This window comes from Homo sapiens, chromosome 6, assembly GCF_000001405.40.
Source record: "Homo sapiens chromosome 6, GRCh38.p14 Primary Assembly".
NCBI lineage: Eukaryota > Metazoa > Chordata > Mammalia > Primates > Hominidae > Homo > Homo sapiens.
Genome location: NC_000006.12, coordinates 128,271,677 through 128,295,285, shown reverse-complemented (window position 1 = coordinate 128,295,285; position 23,609 = coordinate 128,271,677). Strand labels below are relative to the sequence as shown.

General features: G+C 35.4%; 1 protein-coding gene across 6 annotated transcripts in view, besides 1 other annotated feature; it reads left to right on the top strand.

Annotated features, from left to right (window-relative positions):
* Nucleotides 1–23,609, top strand: part of PTPRK (protein tyrosine phosphatase receptor type K) — a 551,815-nt gene that overhangs the window by 225,314 nt on the left and 302,892 nt on the right. The window lies entirely within an intron of this gene.
* Nucleotides 10,833–11,334: an enhancer, noted in NCBI's record as "NANOG hESC enhancer chr6:128605097-128605598 (GRCh37/hg19 assembly coordinates)". NCBI's record gives its function as "activates a minimal SCP1, AML or CMV promoter by ChIP-STARR-seq in naive H9 embryonic stem cells {active_cell/tissue: H9 hESC(naive)}" and the evidence as "EXISTENCE:reporter gene assay evidence [ECO:0000049][PMID:30033119]".

Sequence of the window (23,609 nt, the reverse complement as noted above, 5' to 3'; positions counted from 1 at the left end):
GTTTGTGTCCACTATCCAATAGTGGTTTTTACACTTTTAAGTGGTTGGAAGGGTAGAAAAGAGAAGAATCATACTTTATGACCTGTTAAAATTATTTTAAAGTTGAAGGACAATAGTTTGAAAGTATTCATATGTTGACACATAGTTTATTGCATAGTTTGTATTTCAAATGTAAATTAATCATATAGTTAAATTTTGAAAGAGAATCACATATTACTGACTTAAGGACTTCCAAACTGTATAATGGAATCACATGTACAATTATGTATCTGTTTATGTGGAAACAGATAAACATATCTGTTTCATACTGTAATTCTAACCATATGTCTTTCTTAATTACTCTTTGTTCCTCAAAGTCTATGGTTTCTTTTTGAGTTGGTCAGCCCTCTGTTCTTTACTCATATTTACAAACTTATCATTATGTCTACATTCATAAGTTATTTAATAAAACTTATTTGAATTTATGATAAAGCAGAAGTAGAATGTATATTATACACATATTATGGAAACTTTGCACTTAGCATGCCTTAAGTGGATAAAAAAGCAAAAATTGGCTTCTTAGCCAATGTGAAATTTAGGTAAATCTTAAACTTTTGTTTTTTACTGCAGATATATTTTTAATTACTATCAGATATACCCTCTGTCTACCAAAATGATAGAGATGAAATGCAATAAACTTTGTATCTTTTCCCAAAACTGTAATGTGGTAAATTAACTTAATAAAAATTTAGTATGAAAAATGCAAGTAAACATTTCCAGACTTCACTAATTGTAAATGGAAACAAGATGCTAGAGTCTGTGAAACCCAAGAGGACTCTAAAGAAGACCAGCTTGGTAATTCAAGTAACAGAAGAGAAATAGATATGAAACAGCATTTCTACTTCAGGGTACACTGGAGAAAGAAAAAAGAAGGACTCCTTTATGCATCATTCCAAGAGAAATAGGGAGAAAAAAACTGTGTTTGAAGGAAAGGCTGTGATTTAATCAATAATGGACACCTTAGAAAGACTGATTCTTAGCACCAGGGTTAGGAATAATAAAATAATCTGCTCATAGAAGGCACAGCAAACATTGATTTCTTCTTTTTAAGAATATTTGTTTATATGATCAAATTTACTAAAATAAACCGTTAATTACAGTGTACATTTAAATAATGTACTTAGTTTACTAATGTATCAAACATAAACATTTTTAATTGTCCTTGTGGAAAAATATGTAATATGATGGAGATGGGGAAGTATAAAAAAAGCAAAGATTAAAAGAAAAAAGAATCATCTACAGCTATAAGCACAAAGGCTCCATCACAGGGATATCAAGCATGTTTCCCTTAGATTCTGTCATATGCGTTACTGTCTGCTTGAGTCCATCTGATCACAATGTATGCACAAGGAAACATGTCTATGATATGATCGTGTGTCTCTTTTGTGCTTTTTGCACCTGAATTGTCTGTACTAGAGAATTGCAAAACAAGTTTGAAATGAATTGTACCTCTTTTCCTCAGTTAGTTTTATTGTTATTGTTATTTAATTGTAGTAAACCTAAGAGCCTGTAATTCAGATAATTCCTGGAAAAGTATTTTGATCAGGCATATTGGTTTGGAATAGGTCTGAGCTTTGCATTCTCTAAAATTTTATTACATGCTTTACTTCTTCCATGAGATACTGGTAAGTGATGTTTGGTATTTCTGATAAGGTCTTAGAAATCCCAGTCCAATTAAATAATAAGGGAGTAAAGGTTTATGGAGGTCTGCAGTAGAGGATCACTATTGCTATGGTTTGAATGTATCCTCTATTAAGAGGGAGGACTTTTAAGAGATGATTAAGTCATGAGGGCACCTGCCTACACAAATGGGTTTAAAGCCCTTATAAAAGGTGTTGGCTTGTGGGGTTTTGTTTTGTTTTGTTTTGCCACTCACCATGTGAAAACACAGCATTTCTCCTCTCTGAGGATGCAGCAACAAGTCACCATCTTGGAAGCAGAGAGCAGCCTTCACCAGACAACCAAACCTGCTAGTGCCTTGATTTTGGACTTCGCAGCTTCTAGAACTGTGAGAAATAAATTTGTTTTAAATTACCCAGTCTCTGGTATTTTGTTATAGCAGCATAAAGTGAACTATGACAAAACAATGGCTACCTCCACTTATTCTATACTGATATATTTATTGCATTATATACTTTGACTTTCATAATAATTGTATGAAGTGAAATATGTTCATTTTATAAAGAAAAAAACTAAAAGCCTGGGTGAAACTTTCTTAACCAGGGTCACAAAGCTAATACACACCAGTTGGCTGTTGAACCCCAAACCATTTCACTATTTGGCTATTCTTTGACCACCAAGACACTTTTCTTTCTTTAACAAAGGTTATTGATGGTCTGTTTGCAAGATAGGCATTCATTTAGGTGTTGGAATAAAAATATAAATTACCCACAGCTGTTGCGCTTGTCTAGCTTCTGTCTTGTATGGGGTGAAAATAATTATAAGTAATTAGTCAATAAATAATTACATTAAAATTCAAATACTATAATGGATATATGTCAATGTACTAGTTAACACAGAGTAGGATTATCTATTACCTGAGACTGGCAAAGAAAGAATTCATAGGACGGATGCCCTATGAACTGCATCCTATTTTTAGGAAAAGAGGAGGAAGGTCATGACAGAGAAAATAACACATATAAATCCACCGAGTTGTGAAAGAAATGTTCTGGGAGTTATATTTCTTTGTGTCTGATGCCTGGGGAAAATAAATCTAAAATAATATCTGAAATAGAAACCAGTATTTCCAAAGGGAAAATACATTATGCTCTAATTTATTCACATATTAATTTTTAGTTTTGATAAAATTGCAATTAGAATAGCAATGGGATTGTTATTTAATATATTTTAAAAATATTCATCTAGGTCAGTATTCTTCAAAGTCTTTTTAAAAAATGCATTTGGACTTTTCTAAATAAATACTATGAGAAGATTTATGTTTACAATATATGGCATAATTTCCATGAGAAATATGTGGAATACAATCAGGAAGTCAGCAATACAGAATTATCTAAAACTTATTCATGTAAGTTTTACTGATATTTGTTTTATTTTTCTATGAGCAAAATAATTTTTCTTTGGGTATCCTCAATTGCTTTTTACAAGTCCATGTGATATATAGTAATCTATCTTATTGATACCTACGGATTTATTTAATTAAAATAGTTTTTTATTGGTAGCTGATGATACCTTCTGCAAAGAATGCCATATTTATCTTTTCATTTCTAACAGTGGCATATTTTATTTCTCTTTCATGATATATTGCATTAGCGTGAACTTCTAAAACTGTAGGTTTTTCTTCAATTGGTTAAAGGAGTTAAAAGTTGTGGTGAGAGAACTTTGCCCTTTTTCTACAACAAGAGTAGTTAAAAACAAATGCCTACCAGGGCCACACTGTAGCATAAATATGTGAACAGGGATGACTGTAAGAACACAGAAAATGGCAGAGCAAGAGAAATTGAGAATGTATTGTGTTAAAACACCATGCCAAACAAACACAACATAAGTTTGCATATGCAAGCTTGATGCAGGTAAAGGACTGATGGAGGTGATCCCAGTTGAGAAAGGGTATAGTACTCCTGAAGAGATTGCTCATTATAACCACAGCAGTGGGAGAAATATCACTGTGCTGTAAGAGCTGCTAAATTATTTGGTATCAATGGGTATTGATTGCAAAACAACATGGACCAATGAAAGTACAGGGATTTTGAATCTGAGTTCAAATTATAACTCAGTTCCTTACTAGTATTGTGATCTTGGACACGTAACTTATAGTATTAGTTTTCTAATTTATCCCATAACAAATTGCCAAAAACTTAGTGGCTTAAAATTACATTTATAATCTTACAGTTCTAGGTCAGTAGCCTGACATGGGTCTCATTGGTCTAAAATCAAGGTGTTGGCAGGAATGTGTTCCCTTTTAGAGGCTCCAGGAAAGAATCTTGGCTTTTGTAGCCTCAGAAGGCCATCTACCCACCTTCCTTAGCTTATGGCCCCTTCTGTCTTCAAGACCAGCGACAGCAGGGTTGAGCCCTTCTCCCATTGAATCCCTCTGACCTCTTCTGTAGCTACATTGCTTCGGAGTCTTATTTTTCTCTTTTACTTTTAAAGACTCTTATGATTACATTGAACCCACCTGGGTAATCCAAGGTTAATGTCACATTTCAAGGTCACCTGACTGGTAACCTTAATTCCTCCTTGCCATGTAACAGCATTCCCACATTCTGGAGATTCATATGTAGGCATTTTTCAAGAAGCCATTTTGTCTACTACATTATCTTTTAATTTCTTTCCTTATTTATAAAATGAGACTGTTCTGAAGATTAACAGCAAAAAAAAGATAAAGTATATTAAATGCCTTGTTTAATACCAGGCATATAGTCAGAATTCAATAAGTGTTATCTGATGTTGTTTCCTGCATTGCTTTTCCTATTACACCCTTAGTTTTTGGCTTATAGTTATCCTCTATTTTTAAAATCAATCTTCAGATATTTTTCAATGATTAAGAGTTTCATTCAGTATGTTGCTTTTACACTGATAAACATACAGGGTATAAGTTTAAATAAGCTTAAAAAATTAAATTGCTAATGTGTAGAATCCTTTAAAGCAGCTCCAGTTCTCTATCCTAGAGAACTGGCCCCTGTTCCCCTAATCTCTACACCAGGGTTTCCCAAGCCTGAGGAGGTATTCTGATGAATGCCTGGAGTACTTGGTAAACTGAAATCTCTGAGCCCCATACCAAGGATTTCTGACACGGTAGGACTGGGGAAAGACCTGAGAATTTGCATTTTTAACAAGTCATCAGTGTATGTCATCAGTGGATACTGATGGCTTTGGTCTGTGACCACAGTTTGAGAACCAGTGCTATAGAAATAATGGGGTTAATTTGGCTTTCTTCACATGTGCAGTTAAGCATATCTTTGTGGGTTTTTTTGGATGCTAGCTCTCCAAATACTGACAAAGTCTGCTTAGTGGTAGAAAATGTCAGTTTTAAGTGGTAATGCGTAAACATTTTTCTTTATCCCAGAATGCAAATCTACCCTCAAAAGCACTGTTATTTGAAGTGAAGCAAATTGTAACCATAGAGTAGATATCAAAACTTGTGTGCCTTTCTAACCAAAGAAGCGCATCTGAACAAGATTCATAGGGAGATTTTGGTTGTTTCCCATCTTTGTTCAGTCAGTTTAGCTGGCTATTTTTCAGTTTTGAAAATTGTAAAAATGGAATGGTTTTCCATCTGATTGTGTTACTGCTTCACAAATCAAGTGTCTTTTAATAATACTGTCCTGAAGTTACTAAATGTAGTGCCATTTTTTGCCACATGACATTTATGCAGTGCAAAGATACTTCATTATTATATAAGGCATGAAAAACAAAGTGTTAAATTAATAATATTGTTTGACACATCCTTGAAATTGTCCTTGAATTATGGTAGTATGAAATACCTAACAATTTGCATCATGTTTAAACTCAGATTGCTTTGATATAGGAATCTAGAATAAGTTTCTGAAACTTATTTCATCTCCATAAAGTATATTACGGTGGCAAAGGTCAAATTTTCTGTATTTATCTATGTGTTAAGAGGCTAAGACTTTAAAAGGAGGAAAAAGAGCCTAGAGATGTCTCACTAAAACCTTCAAATATGTTATTTAAAAGGTATCCCACAGGATCAATTGCTCTTTATTAAAAATATGATTTTTTAAAGAGGTTTAATGTCATTGCATTGATTGAACAACAATAGAGAATCAAATACATTGTTAAAGAAATTTGACCTTTAGGTCATTTAAACTGTAAGTCAGACATTCTATTTCAATACTTTGAACTAAGACTGTACTTAGATTTTATAAATTTGATTTGTGGCTCATTTTCTTGAAGAATAGCACATATAACAAATTGTATTTGGTGTAGTGTTAATAATGATTGAAATCTTAGTAAGACAATATAATTGGACATTTCTGGACCCTGAAACAGACACTGCTTCTAAAACTTTGCTGTGAACAAGAATTTCAAGTCCATTCTAGTGGTTTATAATGTCAGAGTCTTTAAGAATCACCTGGTATGCTTTTCAAACATGCAGGTCCAAGGGCCCTACCACTCAGAAATGATGACTTTCCATATCTTTAGTAGAACTTAGAAATGTTAATTTATAATATATATTTTAGATGGGTCTAATGCAAGTAGTTCAGAGACACCACTTCAAGAAGCACTGGTGCACGCTGTAGCCATAGTGACCATAGATTTGGTGGAAGTAAGAATGGATTGCTGAACATGGGATTCAGATGGAAAATGGAAGAAAGCCAATGCAGTAATAAGAAAGAAGAAAGGTCAGGAGCTTGAGGAAACAATTATACCAAGAGAAGGTATTTCATACTTTTAAATTTAAAAGTGCTAAAGTGGTATTTGCTAATTTTTAAGGAATTCTCAGTTTTCAAAGCTAGGTTCCACTAAATTATATAACATATACTTAATGTTAACTGACTATAGAGTGTGAAGGGGGAGAGTATTTCAAGCATATGAGGATGAATAAACAGTTTTTTCCTAAAAGTATTTGTAATTTAATATAGTAGGTTTCAAATGTTCTTGTTTCATCATTTTTATTTGAGGGGTATCTTACTTGTAATTCTAACATCAAAAGCAGAACCAGATGTCTAAAATCTTTGGTTTGATTTCTAACAGAGCTGAATCCCATGCCCTTTTATCCTCTGTTTCATGTATTCCACACTCTTCTAAAGTAGAGCATTCTTAAAGCATCACTATGGAAATTCTAGGATTCTTCAGCACACAAATTGAAAATGATTATTTTAGAAAGTTCTCAATACAAAATTGAGTATGCAGATAGAGATATTTTCACATGAAATGGGGAAATAATCTAGATTCACTTTTGTATTATTATATCCAAAGCGTATAGATGTAGACTTCAAAAAAATCTGTGAATTAACTGATATAAAATTTAGTATTTAATGTGCTGAAAGCCATGTGTGTATGACAAGAAACGAATCTTGGATAGCATCCATATTTATGAAAGAAATACAAAGAACCCCCAAAATGAGAACAGCCAACGAGTATACAGTGAAATAACTTTCAGTTTTGTGAAAGCTAGTGTAGTCAAGTGTCAAGAAGCAAGCTATCACAGAGCCAGAAATCTGAAGAATAATCTTTGTATTTAATTATACAGTCTGCTTCAATGAGAAAGCCTCCAGTAGAGATTTGAGTGAAGAAGCCATATCTCAGTGGGAAGACAAGTTAGTTGGAGATGATAAAAAATAGAAAGTAGGTAGGGAGTAGAAAATTGGATAAGAAGAGAATGTTTGGACAGTAGCCACAGGATAATCATGATCAGAAGGCTTTTTAAAAAATGAAAGAAACTACTTGAGCATATTTATAAAAGGCTAATGGAAAGGAGTAAATAGAAAGGGGATGTTAAAGATACAGAAGAAATTGATGACAGACGGAATGAGATCCAGGAAAAGCAAATAGTCAAATGCTTAGAGTTGGCCCTGAACAGCTAACGTCAGCTCATCTTCCAAGAATGACGGAAAGGAAGTAACAATAGAGAGGATGCACAGAGGTTTTTAGCTTGGTGACAAGAAGTTAAGGGCAATGGTGTCTAGTTTTGATGATTTGTCTTGATAAAGTTTGAAACCAAAAAGTGGCTATACTGTGGTTTGTGATGTTGAATTTACAGGTAAGAGGAACTTAGATGATCAACTGTGAGGTTGAAGGTAGATAAAAGTTTGGAAGTCCCTCTGAGGTGAAAGAGCAGACAGTGAAAGGAGGTTTTGGATTATCATCACGCTTGGGAGAAACTCTGCTTTTGCTCATGAAAGATTTGCTCATGAAAATGTGGAATACATGAAACAGAGGATAAAAGGGCATGGGATTCAGCTCTGTTAGAAAGATAACCACTGCAGTTGTCTTTCTGAGCAAGAGTTTTCGGACATGGTCTTCAGGGAAGACAGTACTGCTATTCCTGATAGATGAGAAACAAATGAGGTGCCCCCTACGTTCATCCCAATTCACAGCCTCTTGGTAGTATCTGGGCCTGGCAGAGGGAGAGGAACCTAAATAGGATCTAGCACTTTCACTTGATGGGAGGAGACTGAGATCAGAGCTGGGGAAGCTGAGGCAGTGAGACATTGTAGGGCAAGGAACTGGAGAGAAAGAAGATGCACAGAAAGAAACACCTCCAGAGATTAACAGAGGGATCATTTCAAATTGGAATATATATCAGGTAAAACTTTAAGAGGCAGGATAGAAATCCACTGAAAAGCAGTAGGACAAAAAAATTCTCAAAATTCACCCAGATCTGGGAACTAGTTGGCACTCCCATCAGCCAGGCTAGAAAACCTTCATAATACACAAAGTATTGGATAGAGTGTTCAAAAAGATACTGCCTTATTAGTGGGACTAAATTGGCTTTACTCTGAAGGCTACACTAACAAAGCTTTAAATTAATCTTTGTGAGAATTAGATTAATTTACACATAACAGTGTGCACCCCTCAAAAGCTTGATATTCTTTAAAGGAATACAACAATATCCAGCATCAAACAATATAAAATCTGCGTGCAAAGAAGCAGAATAACATGAACTGTAGCTAGTGGTGGGAAACAATCCATGGAAACATACCTGCAAAAGGTAGAGATGACCGGACTAGCAAAGATGTTAAACAGCTATTAAAAATATGTGCTGTGTGCTCAAGAGAGAGGAAAATATGAACATAATAAGGAGAGAAATGGAAGGTACACAAATGAACCAAATGGAACTTCTAGAGATAGTTCCTATACAAATCATAGCAATAGAAATTATTGAAAATGAAACACAAACAGAAAAAAATGTGAAAAAAGATTAATATAAGCTCAGTGCACTGTGGGGCAGTATCAAGTAGTCTGACATGTAATTGGGTTTCACAGCAAAAGAGAAGGAGAACAAAAATATTTGGAAAAGTAATGGCCAAATATTTTCTAAATTTGATGAAAACTATAAACGCACAGTTCGAAGAGCACAATGAACCCCAAGCAGAGTAAATGTAAAGAAAACAACACCATGACGTCACCTAGTAGAGTGGCTGAATACTGGTGTTAGGAGAAAATTTTAAAAGCAGTTAGAGAAAAAAGACAGGATCACCACTGGCTGCTGTGGGGAGGGTGCATAATAGAGGCAGGGCAAGAGCCCAGTCTTTACCCTGGGTTTGGTTACAGAGACAACAGCTTTTAAAAGTAGGTGATTCTGGGTCCCGTACAGAAAGGGATTTAACAACAGTAGGATCTTCCAGAGGGCTCGTGGATCACGGTTCGAACAAGGCAGGGGAAGGAGTCATAAGATTAAGTAGAACTTTCTGGTGCCCAGGATTAAGGATTGAGGTCATAAAGAATGACCTCAATATTTCTAACTTTCCTATGACATTTCTTTCTTATTTATTTATTTATTTATTTTGGAGACTTTTTTTTGAGACAGCGTATTACTCTGTTGCCCAGGCAACAGTGCAGTGTCACAATCTAGGCTCATTGCAAGCCTCCCGGGTTCAAGGAATTCTCCTGTCTCAGCCTCCCAAGCAGCTGGGACGGCAGGCACACGCCACCATGCTCAGCTAATTTTTGTATTTTTAGTAAAGATGGAGTTTCACCAAGCCAGGCTGGTCTCCACCTCCTGACCTTGTGATCCACCTGCCTTGGCCTCCCAAAGTGCTGGGATTACAGGCATGAGCCACCACGCCCAGCCTTTTTTTTTTTTTTTAGACAGAGTCTTGCTCTGTCACCCAGACTGGAGTGCAGTGGTGCAATCTCAGCTCACTGCAACCTAAACCTCCCAGGTTCAAGCGATTCTTCTGTCTCAGCCTCCAAAGTAGCTGGGATTACAAGCACCCGTGACCGTGCCTGGCTAATTTTTGTATTTTTAGTAGAGACAGGGTTTCACCATGTTGGCCAGGCTGGTCTCAAACTCCTGACCTCAGGTGACCCGCCTGCCTTGGCCTCCCAAAGTGCTGGAATTACAGGCGCAAGCCACCACGCCTGGCCTCCTATGACATTTCGATATAACTGGCTCAGATTCTCAGATCATGACCAGCGTGGCCTGAGAACATTAGAATTTGCTACAACATTTGCAAAGGGATGGCAAAAGTCAGTTTTTATCTGTTTTTGTGTAATTTGGGTAAGAAGACAACAGTATTCCTCTTAGTATATTGTGTATGTATAGGAGAGTATTGGTATGTAAACTGAGAAATAATAAGGTCTCCATTTGTTTCATTCAACTTTATATTCTTTTTGTGTAACACAATGCTAGCCCATAACTTGAGACTTAAGGTATTTAATGAACTTCTGTATACTCAGTTTTAATTGGTGGCAGTTCTTTAATACCAGAAACAAATTAAAGTTTTTAAAGTTGACAACAGACCCCACATACTTCCCAGTCAAGCATAGTAAGAATGACATGAAGTTTTATTAAGTAATTGTATAGTAGAGCCCTACAGAAATTTGCACTCTAGTTTCCTTAGCTTTACAGGGAAGGTGACGCTTCTGACCTACTTTGTATGCATTATGAACATTAATTATAAAACATCATGTACTTTAAAAAATGTCCTATAAATGCATCTTTTCTGTAAATATCATGCAGATTTTAAAAAGGAGGTCATCTTGTTTTTGTCTTCCAAACTCCAGTGAAACAGAGAATAACCTTTAGGAGTTTTGCTGCAAAGTAGAAACATTCATTCTTGCATTGGACACTTTTCATTGAGTGAACATTTGAAGCAGGGTACCACATGAGATCGAGTTGTAGAAGAGAGAATTTCTGTCCTCTCAGAACAAACACACATGGGTCAGTATCTATAAACAAATCAGTATGTGAAAAGTATCATGTGATTAGTCCAGGATATGTGCCCTGATTGTGAAGGGTGGCTGGGGGCCAGGGTGCTGAGCATGGAGGTGGAAATCAAATCTACATAATGTGGAAAAGATGACCAGGATGAAAGGCATTTGAATTGTTAGTACTTACCCTGGTGACAGCAGGAGAGAGACATCATAGTCACAGGCATTGGCATTTAAAAGGTGCTTTGGGAATTGAGAGATGGGCATTTTCTGTGAATTACAGAAGTCCAAATTGAGTAGGAGTTGGGCTTTGTTTTGGAACAGAAATTGAGAACATAAGAGGCTGAATGGAGCCAGACTGTGAAGAGCTGTGAATGCCAGCCTAATAAGTTTGAGCTGTATCCAGTTTTTGAAAAAGAGAGAGAGAAACAGAGAGAACCTCAAATTTTAACCTGCAATAAATACCTTCAGAGTCTTGCTTCAGGGAAATTTAATTTTTTGCCATATGTAGGCCACATGGAGTCAGGCAGACTTGTTAGTGGGTCATTGTGGTAGTCTAGGTATAGTGAGCTAATGGCCTAAAAGTGAAATACAATGCAAAAGAAAAATGAAGAATAGATACCAGAAAGATTCTTAGGAACTGGTGATAACATACTACAAATTGAGTGGATCTTTGGCTAAATTGCTGCTTTGTGGCTCCTTTCAAGGGCAGTTTATTTCTAACTACTAAACCTATTTTCTTAATATAATAAATGCTCTTGATTTTAATTTTAGTATGAATATGTGCATTGCTTCTATTTATATTATTTTTCGGTCTGTATACTTGTATCTGAAAATGATAGTTTAGGAATGGTCATATTTTATAGATTGGGCCATTGAAAATTATTTAATTTACCAGACAATGTTTAGGAATTTATAGTGTTAATGACTTACATATAAAAGTTCATGCTTTCTAAAAAGCCCTCTCTTTCCCCCAGCATTATTACTTCTGAGATATGAGAAGGAAGAATTACCTTACATTTGGCTTTATAACTGAGAAATTCTTCTCATACATCAAAAATGTACTAATTGTATTTTGAGCTCTCCTAAATCACTTTTGCTCCTTGGTTTATATATATTTCTGAGTCTTGTTTGTTGACTAGAATGGACTCTATTTCAGAGCTTCTGCTTTTTGTTTCTGTGTCACCTTGTCATTTTCTAAATTGATTGGGGCACCCTTGGGGGAAGTGGTCTGTGAAGGACAAGTGTGCACCAAGGACTCTGTAGGCAGGGCAGGAAAGGAGTGAGCCTTGGGGGCGAGCACAAGTCAAACACAAGCTGGGTTCTTCCTGTCCTCACCTTCCTGGAGAAATCAGGACACTTTGCTGCGGGAAAGCATGACCTGTTTTAACCCTTTGTGGTGGGGGTGTTTTGTTGCAATACTGCTGTGGGAAGGCACCACCCTTTCTTGTTTTCCACATAGGACTCATATATTCATATTTTTTATACTTATTCTGCCCTCTAATCTCTTTCTGCAGCCATCTCATTCATTTTCATCCCAACTACCATTCCGTTTTGTACACTTATAGCTATATTATTGCCTCTTTATCTCACAAGTTGTGGTATGATAAATAAGTGATGTTTGTACACTGTTTTTGCAAAAAAGCTCACAGTGCTTTCTGGGGGTATCTACTAATTAATCTTTACAGAATCCCTATGAGATAGATAGGGCTGGATAGGGTATTCAGCACACAATTCACTAGACCATGCTGTCTCTCTATTATGATAAAGGATTATTATTATGTTAAAATGTTTATACACTGAATACATAAATTTGTAGAGATTGATGTAAACCGAATCCCTTGGCAAAAATATGAACATGCCTGTAGCATAAAATTGCAATTGTGAAGCAGGTTTTATCAACTTCTGGTGTTTAAAGAATTATTCCAGATTTGCACATTAAACCTCTGTTGGATAGCTTGTTTTCGTTATCTTGCCTCTTGGGGAATGACAGGGAGCAGTGAGCTACTGAACTTCTGGGATTTCAGCAAGTGACAAACTCAGATTCTTGATAGCGTTATTTAAAAAGTATAGCAAGCTCCTCTGGCTTGTGTGTGACTCATCTACATGTATATAATAGCTTGATTGACTTATATAATTAGTACTTTTATGTTTATATACTGATAATATTTGTGGAAATCTAGTCAGGTATTTTATGCTTTTGCAGAGTTTGATGTGGATTAGCTGCATTGCCTTTTCTACAAAAGCAAACACCCTGAAGAGTTGTCTCCTTTAGGGAGGGAGCTTCACTCTTTTCAGTCAACAGCCATGTATAGTCCTAAGATGCTTTAGTAGTGTTTCCCCCACCGTAGCATATGGATTCACTGGGGAAAAACACAAATAAACCAGGCAGCAGAAAAGAAAAGCTAGAGAATCAGTTCTTTGCTAATCTTATGCTATCACTTCCTTCTTTTTTTTTCTCTCAATGAGTCCATGTTGCTTTTCTCTCTTTACCTTCCCTTTAATTTCTTTTAGCTGTTGAACATGTCAAAAACTGCAGCTGCTCATGAACTCCTATTTCAGCTAAATACGTAAAGATAGATTAATTCTGATAGGGATTCATGGAAGTTGAAAGAAACTTGAGTTTGTGTATAAGTATATGGCCACTGGCTTGCACCTCTCTGCCTTCTATTAGGATTCCAAGAGAGAGGGATGTAGAGTGGGTTTGGAATTGGTGGGATGGTAAGTGCAGAGATAGGGGGTTTTAATTCCTAGGCACAGGGGGCTCCAGGAAGATAGGAAGTTCTCTAATCACCGAGGTACAGTTCTGCTTCCAGGGAAGGATTTATGGAAAGTAACAAAATATGTATACAGTCCCTGATTCTAGACTACTGAGTGCCAGGCATAGGGGTGTTCTTGGAGGTTTCTAAGACAGAGAATAGGGTGATAAAAGTGAAACAATGGGAAAACTAACTTATCAACTTAAACTCCCTGGTTGGCTCCTGAACTCTCTTCCTTCAGCCTTTGCCCCTTTCACATTCATTTGGAGGAATATTTGAGGGGAGAAAAAGGAGTGCGGGAAGGATAATTATATTCTTCCTAAAATATGCGTAAGATACAGATCATTTTTGGATAAGTGAAACCTAAAAATTGTTTTCTTTACCATTAGACCCTAAAGCTCAATCAGCACCTCCTGCCTTCGCTTTATTTGGAGAAGTCCACATCTGGCTGGCCCTGTTCTCAGATACTGGCCTTGCCTGCTTGGTCTTGGCCTGCCCTTTGATTCCTGACCTGCTCTGCAGGGTTCAGCAGAGTGGATCATGTTACAGGGGTCAGCAGGATATCAAACTGCCTTTCTGTACTGATGTAGAGAAATAGTTACTGCTTTGTGCTATAATATGACCCAATGTTTGCAAATACAGATTTCTTTCTCTTCTATAATCTTCTTAAAGGGTCAAAATAAGAAATCACTATCACCTAGATTTTTTTTTCCTAAAAAGTTTGATTCGATTAACTGGGAAGTTATTTTTTTAAAAATAATTACTCAAAGAATATGCTACAAAAAGTATAAAAATAGACTTTAAAAATATTCGAAGTCCCAAACATCTAACATAACTACAATTAATTTATTAGCATTTTCCAGATTTTTCTAAATATATGTTTCACATACTGTGTGTGCTCTAACATATTCTGTTTGAAAATTTAAATGTTTTAATTGAATATGTTTTCCCACTTTATTTTGATATTGTTTTTGTGAACATAATTTTCAAAGCCTGGAACATATGCTTAAGAAATTATTATAGTTGACCAAGTTATTCTCCTAATGATTCCATACTTTTTCTCTTAAATTTTATATATATCTTTAAAAACACATTTTATATTATTTCCATAAACTTAATTTCCCAAAGGTGCCTTTTGAACACAGAAAGTATGGCCAATGGGCTGTATTGTTAAGTTGCTTTCTGAAAGCATCATGCAAGTTACCTTTGAAGCTTCTGTGTTATTAGATAATAGTATTTTCTTTGATAAACTTTCCTGATAGGATAGTCACAAGGAGGAGAAGGATAGTGATAATTTTCTTGCTACTGAGATCATATAGGAACAGTATTTTAAAATGTATTCACTGACATTGAGAAGCTACTAGGAGCTCATTATTGTGTTAAGTGCCAGCCTCCCAGGGATGAGTATGCAGAACTCTGTCCCTAACTTTACAGGTCCTGAGGAGAGTCTGGCGTAGGATACCTGGTTACCAAGAAGCTTGATGAGTGCTGTCCTGGAGTTTTGAGTTGAGAGCTGGAGGAGGAGATATTAAGTTTGATAAGGAAATAGAGTAGTTTAACTCAAGCTGTGTTTTCAGATTTAGGAGATGGGGAAGAGGTTAATTTTGTTTCTGTTGATATTATTCATACATGCATGAATTTAAAAAATTGATGCTAATAAAGGAAAACATCAAAAACCCTTAACACAATTCATATACACACATGCATGTCCAATGGGTCTGTTCTAGTAAGTCAGTGATTAACAAAGACTTTACTGCCTGATGATAGGCTTTTCCAGGCTGATGGCAACTATTATTTATAAATATGCTGTCATTGAGATGGGAAATGGCTTGGGATGGAATGTGAGGAGTTGTTAATAATAAGGGCGTTAGCTGTGATCCACGAATACTTTCTTCCACTCAGTACATTAAAATTTTGGAGGTAAACATGTAGCAAAAATTGTATGGCTACTTTTGTCAAAATTAAAATAGATAATATTTTAATCTTCACTTTGGGGATACATTATTTGCATTCCCCATTAAGCCTAACTTTCTGAAATAATGCTTCAAAAGACACTTGGTAAGAGTGTTTTCTTCCAGTGGCTTCACGTTAAAAAAGGGAAAAAAGAACGGCTCTTTGGTTAACGTCTGGAGTATATGTCTACTTGGCTTCCAACTTCATTGATCCCTGTTGAAGTAGCTGCTGCCATAACAGATTTACCTGATAAGCAATTCTGCAGTTAGCTGAGGAAAGCCATTCATTGGGGAATGAGTCCAGTTATTTTGTGTTTTTAATTAAAGGTATCTAATGCTGGAGTGCCTGTTGTTTTTCCATTTTCTTAAACATCACAAATCAATATTTTTTTAAACTTCTCTTAATCTAGGGGCTGACTTATGTTAATTTTTTGTTGTTGTTAATTAGAATCAAGCTGTAACACATTCACAGAACAGGCATACATGCTAAACAATTTTTCCAGACATCTTTTTTTTTTTTTTTAATTTAACCTCAGTAGAAATTTGGGGGACTTGTTCTCCCAGGGATTTGTATGATTTCCAGCTCTGTTACAGTCAACTTCTAATGGCTCACAGTCTGAGCCTCTACATAAGTGCTTAGGCTGTATCTCAGAGTGATTAATGACTGAGTAGGAAAGCTAAACACACAGCACTTTGTGAACTAAAGACCAGATCAAACCAGTCTGGATTCTACCCCCATCCCTGGCCTCTTTGCTCAGGACCCCATCCTGGACTGTTATTACTGATTAAAAATCATCTCTCTTTTGATGTCTGAATGTGTTGGAGTGTAACAAGAGCACTGACCTGAAATGAGGAGGTTGGTATTTGAACCGAACTTGAACATTGTCTCTAATACATTTTATCTTATTGGATGTGTCTCATTATCATAGCCTGTTAAGAATTTTTTATAGTAAGTTTTTCAGACAGTGCATTCGATGTTTTTTATAGTCTTGTGTGTTTGAGAAGTATTAGTTAGTTATGTTATCTTTCAAGTGTTTGATAATAATATTAAATAATAAGTAGACTAAATCTAAAGACCAAGCCCAGTGGCCTTGTGCAGGATGGCATCTTTCTGGTTGATAACAATGCATTAGTCAATTTTTTTCCAGTATAGAGGTTAGACTAGTCATAAAGTGACATTACTTTGTTATTATCCAGCTCTCATTTCTGCACCTTGCCCATAAGTGGAGGGTGAGAGATTCTTTCAAATGCTTTATTGAAATGTAGACATATTAAGACCTGGCCAGGTGCAGTGGCTCACGCCTGTAATCCCAGCACTTTGGGAGGCCAAGGTGGGCAGATCACAAAGTCGGGATTTCAAGACCAGTCTGGCAAACAGAGTGAAACACTGTCTCTACTAAAAATACAAAAAATTACCTGGGCGTGGTGGTGTGCACCTGTAATCCCAGCTACTTGGGAGGCTGAGGCAGGAGAATCGCATGAACCCAGGAAGCGGAGGTTGCAAGAAGCTAAGATCACGCCATTGCACTCCAGCCCAGGCTACAGTGCGAGACTCCGTCTCAAATAAATAAATAAATAAATAAATAAATAAATAAATAAATAAATAAATAAAAAACACAAAAACACCTGCATTGTTTCCTTTACCTATTTTTATGGTACTACTAGCTTTTTTGGGAAAAGAGCCAGAAAGTATTCATTTAAAATGTCAATAGAATTTCACCAATAATTTGGAAACACTGATTTGTAGGTTTTTTCTTTTAAAACAAACTCAATTTATTCCATTTAAAAAATATTTGGACTGTATTTGTTCTCATGTTCTCATATCATGCCCATTTTTGTCAGTATTAGCAAATAGCAAATTAGATTATTCAGCCCCTCATTCAACAAACAGTTTTAAGTACCTCAGATGGGCCAGGTACTTCTGCAAATTTTCTCCATACCTTAGGATATTCTTTGTTTGGACTAGAAGACTAGAATTAATTCAAGACAGCTATTCAAACCTAAGCCATTTGCTGAGGTCGATTCATAAATCATGTTAAAATGTTAGTCTAACCTCACATAAATTAATATGCGTCCTTTCCCCAACCTTCACTTCTTTGGCCAGGAGATGAAAGCTCAACATGGACTTCCCACCCCAGGTATTGATCTCCTTTCAGAATCTGCCTCTGTATTACTGTTTCGAGAGTCAGGGTCAGCAGGAATATTGTTTTGGGAGAACAGGTCACATATTGCATTAGAGTAACATATGATTATTTTCTGACCTCTCTTCTCTTTAACTTAATTCTCAGTGTTTTGACAGAGCTCTTGCATGCCTGTTCCCTAATAAAGGACAAAAGACAATCATTTTCTTATGACAGTTTCGTATTTTATCTCAATCTAACAGCAGCATGAATTGATAACTACTTGTACAAGTAATGTTATTTTATTTGGTTCAATGTACTATGACTGACTTTTATTTAAAAGACCCGTTCTGCAAATTACCTTGGTTTATACTTAATAGGTAGTTTTTATAAGCTTAGCTCCAAGTTAAACGTTCAATGTTTGTTTTATTGAATTACTTTCTATATGAACTTGAGTAGACAGCTGTTTTCATGTTAGTGAGACTTTTTTTTTTTTCTTTCAGACTGACACTGTTGTGCCAAGCTATAAGGAGTAGATTCTTCAGGCAGAGGTCACTCATTGTCTTTCAGTTAGAGATTTAGAAAAACTTTTCTAAGCTAGTGCTCCTGTGGTATTGCATGCTACAAAGTGGGGAGGCCCTTTGGGACATGGTCAAGTCTTTTTAAAGATCAAATCCTCAATTTTTGGAAGAGTATATATATCTCATATACACAGTTTCTTAAAATTTAGGGTTTGTTGAGACACATGGAAAAAAATTTAAATGCCACTGTTGAGTAATTTTATGCTGTATACTTTTTCAGGGAATAGTCTTGAACTCATCGGTGCCCACAACTTAGAGAAATAATATTTGGGGAACATTATTTGAAAGATACGCAACTCCTTCTATGTTTCTTCATTTTCTAAAAATCTATCCCCAAATCAAGCCAGATCTACAGAGACTGGCACAAGGAAGAATCAGTTTACCTCCCAATGGAATTGTTTTACTGAATCACATTACACTGGGAGCTGCTTGCTGCATTTATTGCCAGAAAGCTTAAAGCCAGTTTATGGCTCTCTAATAAGAAATATATAAATGTTTATGGTAAACATGTTTGAGCTTTATTTCTGGCTCTAATTGATGGCTTTATTCCCATTTTTCTTTCTTCTTTCTGTCCAGTTTTACACTTCTGGAATTTTCTTGTGGTTAATATATCCTTTCAGCTTCCTTTAGTCTTTTCTAGAATGGAGGCAGAATCTAAATAAACAAATACAAAACATCTGCAGTAGAAAAGGATAATGAGAAAAGAATGATTTTTTCTTTGAACTTCTGTTCTGTGGTCAAAGACAATATTTCTGCTTTCTTAAATAAAATAGCCTGGTAAATGCTATTAGTAGACAAATAAAGAAATTTGTATTTAAATTACTTACAGATACCATAAAACTTTATATGTGTTGCCTCAAGTAGAATCTTATGCTCTTGTTGTTGAATAATTTAGTATATTGGCATTTATAGTTAAGACATCCTATTTTAACATGATTTTAATAGTGAATCACTTAATATTTAATTAAATAGTTAATGTTACCTTATGTGCATACTTAAAATTTTTTTTAAAGTTTACATATATCATCATACTGATAGGAAAAGTCTATAAAGTAGGCAAGGTTTATATATTACCCCCATTTAAAAGGCATGGTTGGGTTATGACTTGCCAAAAAACAAAAGGCAAAAAATATATCATGTGGCAAAGAAAAATAAGACATTAAATTTTGAAAGAACCTTATGAGTCAGACATAATTCATCAAGTACAGTTTGCCTTTTAGTTTTATGAAATATTAATACTGAAAGGGACCTTAGAAAGTATTTTGTCCAGCCTTCTGATTTTATGAGTGAAAACAACCAACTAATTTTAGAACATTCAAACAAGTATTAGAACCTCTACTCAATGGAACCATATTTATCCCCTGTATAACTTCAAATAGAGTTGAGTAGTCTAATGTATATTCCCAAATACGAACATTAAGAACTTTAACACCTGGTTCAGTGTTTTGACCCTTTTAACCTCTCATTACTGTAACCATTATTAAAACTAAACTGTACTGTCTTCAGTTAGCAATTGATTAGCTCTTTTTTCTTTAGAGCCAAATAGACCCCAAATGAAAATCTTGCCACAGGCCCTTGAACTCTTTCTTTTACTCTTCCCATGTAACATTATGGAGTTTGCCGGTTGGTTATAAATAGATAAATAAACAAAAACAGAGCCAAACAAATAAATGTAAATAGATTAACATATCAGGGCTCTGAACACTCAGCTTCACATAGAAAAAGGTAAACAAACATAGATAAGTAATATTTGCAGCATTGTTTATAACATAAGAGCTTGAGTCAGAATCCTTTGAGTTCAAATCCTCATTCTCTCTCATTTCCTGTAAGCTTGGTCAAGTGAGTCAGTAACTGTAGCTTTGTGTCTTTATCTGTAAAATAGGGATGATACCTATATCATAAGTGTTATGTTATGATTAAAATGAAAGTGTGTGTTGTACAGTGCTAGTGAAGTATAAGGAAATATGCATGGTAAGTGTTCATTCTAACATTTGGTATATTGCAATCGCACAGATTTATTTTTTTCTTCTCTTTGGAAACAGGAGCATAACTTGCTTATCCTATAATTGAATTATATTATTATAAGGTGTTTTCAAACAGGATTCTATTGAATGATTTTAGTTATCAGACCTCACCAGCACCAAAAAGGCCATTTTAATTTATATTGTTTTTTTGGTTAGCTGAGGCCAGAAATTTGTCTTCTGAATTTTTTCTTGATAATCTAAAATGGTTCAAACAGACATTAATTTTAGCCAGACTTTCACCATTTCAGTTTGTACTCTCCTGTAATCTGGTCTACAAATTAAATATTGAGACAACATACTTGTCACTTTTTGGAGGCATTTCTAAACCATTTGTTTGGATACAGAGTAAAAATACTTTTAAGTTTATTTATATAGTGATCAATGGAACAACCTGAGTTTTTAAATCTGGGTGTGAATGCTGATGATTGCTTCTGTAGATCATTTGCTCAAGGAGCTGTGATATAATTTTAAATTTAATTCATGAAATTGTAGATCCCGGAAAGTAGTTTATTATGAGACGCATAGTAAATTTTAAAATGCCCTCAATAGTATTTTCACAGTATGTTTTTAATAATTACTAAGTTGTCTTCATAGGCCCATAATAGACTTAGCAAAACACTGGTTTATATTTGTAGTTTTCTGAATTTTAGAGAATGTGAGGGTTTTTAAGTGCTGGAAGATGGAATTTAGTTTGTCAGGGAAAAATTCTAGGCAGAGCAAGTAAACCCTGTATTCTGTGTTGTAGGAATGCAGTTCTTTCAGGAAATTTAAGGCAGTAACAACAAAGCAACAATAATTTAGTGTTATAATTTTAAAACCTATTGTTTCTTTGAAGTGGTGGGTCATTATTTAGACTTGCTATTCTATTGGCAAATATTCATTTTAATCATATTGTAAAGGTATAATTTAAATATTTTGAAGAGGAAAAATCTGTACCTTGCATAACAGAGTCTTGATCCTTTAGGGCTGTTAGTCTAGTAGATTCTGTTGTTTTCACTCTTACCATATTAATAAATTCAATGAAATATGTTCATTAATAATAAAAAGGCACATCGCTTATCTCTGTATGTATGTATTTGGTGAAAAGGGGGAGTATAACTTTATAAGAGTTTTCATTTTGCTTGCTGAACAACTAACTGTTTGATTTTGATAGTGAGGAGAAAGCATGTAAAATTCATACTATTCAGGTGCTTTTGAGACATTACAGTGATAAATTGCGACTTATGCACTGACTAATTTTCCATGTATCCTTTACTGGAATGTTTCTTATTAGGAAGTCCATGAGTGTACTCAATGGAGATAACCCTAGACATTTCATTCCTGAATCTCAAATGAAAGGACTCTTGGCCCAGGACACTTACACGTTTTCGTCTGGAGTTCAATCTTGAGGTGATTGTAGCAGAAGATGTTGCATCTTAGACTGTATGTCTGATGGAGTTTTGGAGATTCGGGTTCATAATGTGGGGACAGTGGATCTCAGTAGGTTGTTTAGTTTTGAGCTTCAAAGGCTTGTAAACTCAATTTTACATAGGAAGGAGGATAGATGCTTTTCATAGAATGGGTATAGGACTTTGCAAAGATTAAGTGTCACTGCTTTCTGTAAACAGTTGATAGTTATACAAAATAAAGTCCATCTTTTTTTTTCTTTTTTTATTATACTTTAAGTTCTAGGGTACATGTGCACAAAGTGCAGGTTTGTTACATATGTATACATGTGCCATATTGGTGTGCTGCACCCATTAACTCATCATTTACATTAGGTATTTCTCCTAATGCTATCCCTCCCCACTCCCCCGACCCCGCGACAGGACAGGCCCCAGTGTGTGCTGTTCCCCACCCTGTGTCCAAGTGTTCTCATTGTTCAATTCCTACCTATGAGTGAGAACATGCAGTGTTTGGTTTTCTATCCTTGCGATAGTCAGAATGATGGTTTCTAGCTTCATCCATGTCCCTACAAAGGACATGAACTCATCCTTTTTTATAGCTGCATAGTATTCAATGGTGTATATGTGCCACATTTTCTTAATCCAGTCTATCATTGATGGACATTTGGGTTGGTTCCAAGTCTTTGCTATTGTGAATAGTGCCACAATAAACATACGTGTCCGTGTGTCTTTATAGCAGCATGATTAATAATCCTTCGGGTATATGCTCAGTAATGGGATGGCTGGGTCAAATGGTATTTCTAGTTCTAGATCCTTGAGGAATCACCACACTGTCTTCCACAATGGTTGAACTAGTTTACAGTCCCACCAACAGTGTAAAAGCATTCCTATTTCTCTACATCCTCTCCAGCACCTGTTGTTTCCTGACTTTTTAATGATCGCCATTCTAACTGGTGTGAGATGGCATCTCATTGAGGTTTTGATTTGCATTTCTCTGAGGGCCAGTGATGCTGAGCATTTTTTCACGTGTCTGTTGGCTGCATAAATGTCTTCTTTTGAGAAGCATCTGTTCATATCCTTTGCCCACTTTTTGATGAGATTGTTTGATTTTTTCTTGTAAATTTGTTTAAGTTCTTTGTAGATTCTGGATATTAGCCCTTTGTCAGATGAGTAGATTGTAAAAATTTTTTCCCATTCTGTAAGTTGCCTGTTCACTCTGATGGTAGTTTCTTTTGCTGTGCAGAAGCTCTTTAGTTTAATTAGATCCCATTTGTCAGTTTTGGCTTTTGTTGCCATTGCTTTTGGTGTTTTAGTCATGAGGTCCTTGCCCATGCCTGTGTCCTGAATGGTATTGCCTAGGTTTTCTTCTAGGGTTTTTATGGTTTTAGGTCTAACATTTAAGTCTTTAATCCATCTTGAATTAATTTTTATATAAGGTGTAAGGAAGGAATCCAGTTTCAGCTTTCTCCATATGGCTAGCCAGTTTTTCCAGCACCATTTATTAAATAGGGAATCCTTTCCCCATGTCTTGTTTTTGTTAGGTTTGTCAAAGATCAGATGGTTGTATTGGTTTTAACCTATATTTTAATGACTAATGCATATGTGGATAAATCTGTTACAATCAGTCATGCAGAACTTCATTATAGTTAACACTAAGATCTTTGCTTTAGGAAACTGAATTACTATATTAACGAGTACTATTAATATGATAATTCTTTTAATTTTCTTGATACACTACACAATAAACCTTTCAGTTCAATGTTAATTTTAAGTAAAACTCTTGTTCCAACTCTTCAAAGTAAAGTAAATAAACCAGTCAAATGTGCTAAAGGCACAAGCAGAAGCGTTGGCCAGAGATTATGCATCTATAGTCTTGGAGGAGAACCAAAGATACTATAATCACAATTTGCCAAGTCTGACTAATGACTCCTTCAAAGTTGAGAACACCA